Source organism: Homo sapiens, chromosome 2, assembly GCF_000001405.40.
Source record: "Homo sapiens chromosome 2, GRCh38.p14 Primary Assembly".
NCBI classification, from domain to species: domain Eukaryota; kingdom Metazoa; phylum Chordata; class Mammalia; order Primates; family Hominidae; genus Homo; species Homo sapiens.
The window spans coordinates 32,917,626-32,926,802 of NC_000002.12; the positions used below are offsets into that span (position 1 = coordinate 32,917,626).

The following is a 9,177-nucleotide window of genomic DNA, read 5'->3' on the forward strand; positions in this document are numbered from 1 at the left end:
CGAAGGAGTAACAAGAACTTAACAAAACACAATAGATAAATAAAAAAAAAAATTATACCAACATTTATAAAAACCCTATAAAGCAAAATATAAAAGAGAAAATATAAAAAAAATAAGGACCACAAATAAGTACAAATAAGGAAACAATAATCGCCCAAAAAACCAAAAAAAAGTATTTGAATAGAGATAGTAGTCCCAATAAGAGGAAAACAACACAAAAAAATAACAATTATAAAAAACCTAATAAAGAAGAAAAGAAAACAACAGAAAAAATAAGAAAGTATAATAAAAGTGTTCACAAATATGGGAAACACTACAAATAGAGACCAATTAGGAGCGAAATAAATAATAAAGAATATAATAAGAGGAGATTTATAAACCAAATGAAGAAAAAAATGAGGATAAAAAAATAAGAACATAATATAAAATACCACAAAAATTTTAAAAAGAGACATTTATTAAACGGAAAAAAAGTATAATCAATTAAAAAATAAACATAGAAAATTCAAAAAAGAGAGAAAAGACAATAATAGTGAAACAAAGAGAGAAGAACATATATAAGGAGTAAAATTAATCATGAAAAATTAAAACAAGATTAGGATAAAAAAGATTAATATATAAAAAAAGAATTACGAGTTAAGAATTGGAGAAATAACCAAAGGAATTATCCAAAAAAATAAAAATATGTAGAAGTAAGCACCAAGGAAAGGAAAAAGATAAAATAATGAAAAAAATGAAATATTAAAAAAAAATAAAAAAGAGAAATAAAACCTGTAAATCCCTGCTTCCTCCCTTCCTTCCTTCTCTCCCACCCCATTCTCTCTGAACTGAATCTATCATGGAACACCTTTTTAATCTCACTTGTTTCTGAGATTTCCCACTAGCTAAGGCTTTAGTCTTCCTAAAAGCCTTCTCTCTTCTTTTTTTTTTTTTGTTTTGATCTTGGATATGGGTCCCTTATTATTGCTTGTGAACATGTCTTTAAAAAAAAAACAAAACATGAGTTCATGAGAGTTTTCTGAGTGGCCACACTGGCTTATAAGTTTACTTATCCTTTCCCTATTTACAGGATTGTTCATTATTCCATTGCCTTGGAATTTATGTAATGCTCTCTTTCTTTGCTATTATGGACTCCCAAAAGACATGGTCACATTCTCCCAAGGTCTCTATAATTTCCATATAGAAACCAGTTCTTTCTCTTTGGTTAAAATTGCATGCAGAATACCAGTTTCTCCTTTGATCTGAGAGCTGAAATTGTTAGCTAGGAAAGTCTCAAAATTTTTATAGGCTGCTCTACTTTAGCAAAATATGACCTCCAACAGACATAAAGATAGTTCAAGTTCCTATCCCTATGACTGCTTGCTTGTAGTTATGTGGTCTGCTTTCAGGAAGGCTCCTCCATGCCTGGGCACCCAACCTAAGCCCTCGCCCTCGAAGGAATCCTGTTTATGTTTTGCCCGTAATTCCCGGCTGCTTCCGTTCTTACTGAGTAACTTTCTGTACAGAAACGGGCTATCTTTTTGCATCCTCTTTTCACATATAAGGCTGCTTCTTCCTGCCTCTCTCAAAACAATGACTCTTTCTATTGCTGTATTTCAGGTAGGAGTCCCATCACATCTATGTGAGAATGGCTGTGCTTCTTATATTAACATAAGTTAATTTCTTTCTTTGCATCTCATCCTCTGTGACTCAGTGTCAGAGATATTTTCGTGTTTAAGGGATTTTTTTTTTTGATGAGTTTCTCTCAGTTTTAACAAAAACTGACATATGAGTACCATCTACAAGACTCCAGCAGTTTCCCCGGTATCCCATTCTTCTCATGTTTGACTCTCATTCTCCCTCATCCCCTGAGAAGATTTTTCCCTCTAATTTTCTAGTGTTCCATCCCTTTAAAATTCTCTCTTGGCTGGATACGTTGGCTCACGCCTGTAATCCGAGTACTTTGGGAGGCCGAGGCGGGTGGATCACGAGGTCAGGAGTTCAAGACCCGCCTGGCCAGCATGGTGAAACCCTATCTCTACTAAAAATACAAAAAATTAGCAGGGCGTGGTGGCGGGTGCCTGTAATCCCAGCTACTCAGGAGGCTGAGGCAGAGAATTGCTTGAACCCAGGAAGCAGAGTTTGCAGTGAACCGAGATCACGCCACTGCACTCCAGCCTGGGCGACAGAGCGAGACTCCATCTCAAAAAGAAAAAGTCTTCCTTAAATTTTTTTTTTTTTTTCGAGACAGAGTCTCACTCTGTCACCCAGGCTGGAGTACAGCGGTGCGATCTCGGCTCACTGCAACCTCCACCTCCCAGGTTCAAGTGATTCTCCTGCCTCAGCCTCCCAACTAGCTGGGATTACAGGCATGCGCCACCACACCTGGCTAATTTTTGTATTGTTTTTAGTAGAGACAGGGTTTCACCATGTGGGCCAGGCTGGACTCAAACTCCTGACCTCAGGTGAACCACCCGCCCTAGGCCTCCCAGATTGCTGGGATTACAGGCGTGAGCCACCACACCTGGCCCAAATTTTTTCACTGAGCAAATACTCTTGTGTATGGAAAGGCATTTCTCTTGGACTTTGCCTGCTCCTCTGCTAGCTGATCATCACAGTAACTGGTGGTCACCCCAGGAACCGGGGGTGTTACAGATATAGAAGATACCCCGCACAAACCGGCAGGAAAATGATTTCTAAATCTCAATTTAGCTGACCATGTGATTCTGATGAAGAACCATATGAGAAGCATAGATACAGGAACACAACTTGTAGAAGTGGCCCCATGCAGACTGCAAAGCAATGCCCTTTGTGGTACAAAATTAAGTGTCTCCTTTTTCTTTGGATTAGGGGAAGGGGCTGTGAGCAAGGGAGAAGGCGGTTCTTGGAAGCAGGTGGGATTGGAAGAGGGAGAGGGGGCTTTGGGGAGGGGAGAGGTCTGCAGGATTTGGCCTTCCCTTCCCTTCTTTCCATCAGACAAACCATTCTGCCCCTTTAGCTCCCCTGAGACTAGGAGGAAGCCCCTTGCCATTGTTCTCTATCACTGCCTCTTTTCTTCCTGCAGGATTGTGTCCCACCTAAACAATCCCCATTTCCTGCACTGCCTGCCCTGGTGGCTTCTTCCAGGACCTCAGGGAAGCAGGCAGCTTCATCTCCAAGTCTCCCAGGCCTGTGGCCTCACCCCACCACTCCCACCCTCACCTCCTTTGTCACCCCAGGAGTTCTCTCTGGCATTCATGCCTGCCCCACCTTGCCCCAGACACTGTACCTGAGGATGCAGATCTGGGAGGTTGCATGTACTCCTGGGCTGTAGTTTAAGGCTTATTCAAAGGCCTGTTTGTAGGCAGTATGGTATAAGCAGTCGAAACTAGATAAAGGCAGATTTGGGTTCAAATCCAAATTTTGCTACCTTCCAACCAGTTGAGTTATTTAATCATTTTGAATCTCAGGGACCCCATGTATAAAATATGGATAGTAATCCTAGTAATGCACACAGATATTTGCGTGCACACACACACATATTCACACACATATTTCCTGGCATATATGTTCAACTGATGTATCAATGTTTCCCCATCTATGAAATGGATAAAATAAATAAATGACACCTACTTTTTTTTTTTTTTTGAGACAGAGTTTCACTCTTGTTGCTTAGGCTAGAGTGCAGTGGTCTCGGCTCACTGCAACCTCTGCCTCCTGGGTTCAAGCTATTCTCCTGCCTCAGCCTCCTGAGTAGCTGGCATTACAGGCGCCCATCACCATGCCTGGCTAATTTTTGTGTCTTTAGTAGAGACGAGGTTTCACCATGTTGGGCAGGGTGGTCTCAAACTCCTGACCAAGGCAATCCACCTGCCTTGGTCTCCCAAAGTGTTGGGATTATAGGCATGAGCCACGGTGAGCCACGGCGCCTGGCCATTTCTTTTTTTTTTTTTTTTTTTTTTGAGACTGAGTCTTGCTCTTTGCCCAGACTGGAGTGCAGTGACATGATCTTGGCTCAATGTAACCTCTGCCACCAGGCTCAAGCAATTCTCATGCCTCAGCCTCCCAAGAAGCTGGGATTACAGGCATGCACCACCACACCTGGCTAATTTTTATATTTTTAGTAGAGATGAGGTTTCACCACATTGGCCAGGCTTGTCTGGAATTCCTGGCCTCAAGCAATCCGCCTGCCTCGGCCTCCCAAAGTGCTAGGATTACAGGCATGAGCCACTGTTCCTGGCCAAATAGCATCTACTTTTAGTGTTTATTTTGAGGAAAGTTAAAGGAGGAAAATAAGTACAATAAATTGTATCCATAATTAATAGGTATTGTGGAGAGGTGTGTGGGCTACTGGCAAGGGTGATTACTTTAGAGTCAGATTAAGTTTGAGAGCTAGTTCTGCCACTAACTAGCTGTGTGATGGGCAGGATAGTCAACCTTTCTAAGTCTCATTTTCCCAAACTATAAAATAGCAACTGTATTAGTCCGTTTTCATGCTGCTGATAAAGACATACCTGAGACTGGGCAATTTACAAAAAAAAGAGGTTTATTGGACTTACAGTTCCACGTGGCTGGGGAGGCCTCACAATCATGGTGGAAGGTGAAAGGCAGGTCTCACGTGGCGGCAGCAAGAGAGAGAACTTGTGCAGGGGAACGCCTCTTTTTAAAACCATCAGATCTTGTGAGACTTATCCACTATCACAAAAACAGCATGGGAAGGACCTGCCCTTATGATTCAATTACCTCCCACCTGGTCCCTCCCACAACATGTGGGAATTCAAGATGAGATTTGGGTGGGGACATAGCCAAACCATATCAGCAACAATTATAGAACCCACACTCTAGAACTGTCATAATGAAACACGATAATCCACAGACAGCATCCAGTCCTGCACTTGGTGCTCAGTGAGGGCTTCACAAGTTGCTGCTGTTACTGTTACTAGTTGTATTGGTTATTTCATTCTCCCTGCTGCCCTCCCTAGCTCTGGACCAGGAGTCACTTCTGTTGCCTTGTGGGGAAGGAGAGGAGGACAATGAGCAAAAGAATCCAGAAGGCACAAAATCCAGCCCTTTGGAGAGAGGAAAGTGAAAGGCAGGAGCAGCTGAAAGGGACAAATTCAGAGAGGATGTGGGTTTAGTGGGGATAAGCACCTGGCACTTTGTCGCTTTTATTCTTGTCTTATGCCTTTTCCATCATTTTTATGGGCTGGTGTGCAGACATTTGTTGAAAGGACTCTTCCACCTGGATCTCATTGAAATCATGCAGCCTTTCTCTTCACTGAATATTTTTCTATCCCAGTAACTATATAAATGTTCCATTTGTGATGTAATTGTTCTGTTTCAGATTTTCTTTCCTAAACTAAAAACGAGAGTTACCCCAAACATTCGAGACAATGGCTTGAATGTAATGCTTTGAATGATGAACTTTTCATTTCCAATGGTTTACATTTATTTTTTCTATTTAGTGGTCTACCCTCTGGTGCTAGGTGGAGGCTCCAAAGGGCAAGGGTTACATTGAGAGGAGGATGGAGCTGCAGAGACTTACTTTCGATATAAAAATTTCCACTTTTTAGAGAGAAGCATGAGCTAAACAGAGGCAGCTTTTACTTGTTTGGAAATGCAATCAGGGTCCTTATTTTAGTTGCTTAATATTTCTACACCAAACAACCAGCTTCTGCCAAAATCACTTTTACACAGAAAATACTCTGTTGCATTAACGGGCTATGGCAGTGACTTTTTCTTGAAGCTAATGAACTGTCATTCTACTTCTTGGCTCTGCCAAATAACCATGCATGGGAGGAGGAAGGAGGAATCAGGAAAGGGCCAGAGTTTTGCTTAGGCATTTTCAAACATAGAAGATGGACCACATCTTGTTCAATGAGGAGATGAGGCTGACTGTTAAGCTGTTTAGTTGTGGTAGATGAAAGGAGGACGGCTTCAAGTGGGTCAAGCCCCATTTCTCCTATTCACTTATTTATATGGGCTGTAAATCTCGATTTTATTAGCCATAAAATGGGAAGATAATGCCTAGATAGCAGGGCTGGCTGAAGCTTAGCAGAAATTAGATGTGTGCACAAGTGACCCTTCTCTCAAGCCATTTGTGTGAATGTGATAATATGTATGAGGAATTTTCTTTTTTCACTGGAGGAGAAAGGGGAGTTTCTATAATAGGTGTCTTTAAATGTAGGGAGCCAAGAGATGGCAGGAGGAAAATGGAAGGGTGGTATGACAACTGTGTCCCATGCCTTGTCCCTTATCCTGGGCATAAGTTTCCCTGTTCCTGACTCCCCCACCTCTGGCCTAATGAAGTACGGATTGGAGGACAGCATAGCCTTGAAGCCTAGGTAGCCAGGTGGCTCATGCCTGTTATCCCTGTACTTTGGGAGGCTGAGGCAGGCGGATCACTTGAGGTTGGGAGTTCAAGACCAGCCTGACCAACATGGAGAAACCCCGTCTGTACTAAAAATACAAAATTAGCTGGGCACGGTGGCTCACTCCTCTAATCCCTACACTTTGGGAGGCTGAAGCAGGTAGATCATCTGACGTTGGGAGTTCGAGACCAGCCTGGCAAACGTGGAGAAACCCCGTCTCTATTAAAAATACAAAATTAGCCAAGCGTGGTGGTGCTTGCCTATAATCCCAGCTACTCAGGAGGCTGAGGCAGGAGAATCGCTTGAACCCAGGAGGTTGTGGTAAGCCAAGATCGTGCTATTGCACTCCAGCCTGGGCAACAAGAGTGAAACTCCATCTCAAAAAAAAAAAAAAAAAGAAGTCGTCTAGGTGACAGAAGTCTCACCTGAAGATGAGCAGAGCCACTGTTGCTCATTCCACCAAAAATCTGTTGCACCCTAAGGGCTCAGGAGAAACACCAGCAGCAAAGTGCTGCTCTCAAATGGCTTGGAGGCCATGAGTGAGCAACTCTGAGGATCCGGAGAGTAGAGGGGTGTGTGTCCTTATTCATGAGCCAATCTGAGACAGCTTCTAGGACACCTAGAAGGCAATAAAGGAGACTTCAAGTGATGAGGGTGTGGGGGGATCAGGGCTATTGAAGGCTTGTAGGTCTACAGGTGGAGGCTTCATTGTAATGGGAGCTCACAAGTTGGTGAGGCCTGGAGACATGTGAAATAGTTGTCCTAGATAATATTTCAGTGTGAATTTAAAAAGAGAAAGAGAAAGGCCATGTGAAAGCACTTTGCAAATTTTAGTGTTATAGAAAAGTGCAGAATTGGTATTATGAAGAAGACATTCTGGGATCGAGCACAGCCCCTGTTAGGGTGGCTCTGCCAAGGCCAGACTCACGTGAGAGGTATCAGGTAACAGGGATACCGAAATGCTCCCCAAAGGCCAGGTGTGGTGGCTCACGTCTGTAATCCTAGCACTTTGCAAGGCCGAGGCGGGTGGATCACCTGAAGTCGGGAGTTTGAGACCAGCCTGGCCAATATGGCGAAACCCTGTCTCTACTAAAAATACAAAAATTAACCGGGCATGGTGGCGTGCACCTGTAGTCCCAGCTACTTGGGAGACTGAGGCAGAAGAATCATTTGAACCCAGGAGGCGGAGGCTGCGGTGAGTGGAGATTGCACCACTACACTCCAGCCTGGGCGACAGAGTGAGACTCTGTCTCATTGAAAAAAAAAAAAAAGTAAAAGAAAGAAATGCTCCTTGCGGCAATACATGGGAATTTTGTTGAGCACCTGCTGTGTCCTCAGAATTCTTTCATCTGCTTAGGATTCAAATACAATTAATTCTCAGTCTCTGTTCTTCAGCAGCTCACTGTCCAAAGGGAGTCTCTCTCCCCGGTCCACATGCTGAGGCTTGCTCCAGAGTGAATGTGTGCACTGGAAAGAACCCACACAGGCCCCCTGAGAGCTGTCAGCCTTGCCAGGCTTCTGTGAGATCCCTGGGTCCGAGTAGCCAAGCTGGGAGGAGCACCATTTGCCCACTGACTCTTGGGCAACGCTGCAGCCTGCATCCCAGCCGGCAGAAGGCAGGTGGTATCACAGCTGAGTTTACAGCCACGGAAGGAACCACTGTAGGCTTTTAGTAGATAATATGTTTTCTCTGCTTCAAATCCTTATTTTGGTTGCTTAAAATTTCTGCAGAAAACAAACAGCTTCTGCCAAAATTGGCTCACAAAATTAGCTTACTAGTATAATCAGTTGTATAGCAAGTATTTACTGAGTAGCTCTTGGAAGGCAGTCAACACAAGAGGGATGGATCATTCTTCCAGTTCATCACACGTGGGTTGGACATGCTAACAGTCCCCGATAGCTATCAGGCGAGTAAATGGATGATCACACAAAGGCAGAGGCATCGCAGAAGGATGCTAACTAGATGTCATGCGTCAAGGATACTACAGAAGGATCTCTTTGCTGACAAGGAGGGTACCTCTAAGGTTCCTTCAGATGGGATGGTTCTCTGTTCACCGTGATCACTACTATGCAAAGGCCTGTGGGCCATTTAGGAGAAAAGCATTCAGTCCAATTCCACAGACACAGTGAGGATGTAATATGCCCTAGGCATATATGAGTGGATCCAAGGAGGAAATACTCAGTCACTACTGTCAAGAACTCATGACCTGCTGCAGGGTTTGCCAAACTATGGCTTGTGGGCCAATCTGGCTCACCACCTATTTTAGTAAATAATGTTTTACTGGAATCCAGACACGCTTGTTTGATTACATATTGTCTATGGCTGCTGAGCACCCACTATAAGGGCAAAGTTAAGTAGATAGAGACTTTATCACCCACAAAACCTAAAATATTTGACTGGATGGCCCTCTACAGAAAAAGCCTGCGAACCTGTGGTCTTGTGGGAGGACACTGCTGGGCACAGTTAACTCTAATTCTTGGCTGTAGCATCTTGAATAGGGTGGCAGTCCCTGGCTGCTGAGGGGGACAGCTGGACGGCTGCCTCCCAGGGGCATTTCCATGACTTGCAGGCCCAGAAACTAGACTTGGGCATGACCACAGAGTTCTTGATGGACTGAAGATGCCCAAACCACAGACTGACTTGTAGGCTAGAAATGAACATGTGGGGTGGAATAGTCCTTTTGGGGACTAGAATAATTTCTAGAGAGCCACCCTTTCTACATGATACGGCGCACATTCAAGTGTGGCTACTTACACTGAGACTTTCTGATGAGCACGACTAGACAGCAGGGGGCCCCCAGGATAGTTTGTTCAGGTCAAGGTAAGATGAGAGGAGAAACTAGCCCTG

General features: G+C 43.8%; 1 annotated feature.

Moving 5' to 3' along the window:
• Positions 7,148–7,317: an enhancer, noted in NCBI's record as "experimental_58246 CRE fragment used in MPRA reporter constructs". NCBI's record gives its function as "activates a minimal promoter by MPRAs in K562 erythroleukemia cells, with activity observed for both the introgressed and non-introgressed 2:33149925 variant alleles {active_cell/tissue: K562}" and the evidence as "EXISTENCE:reporter gene assay evidence [ECO:0000049][PMID:34662402]".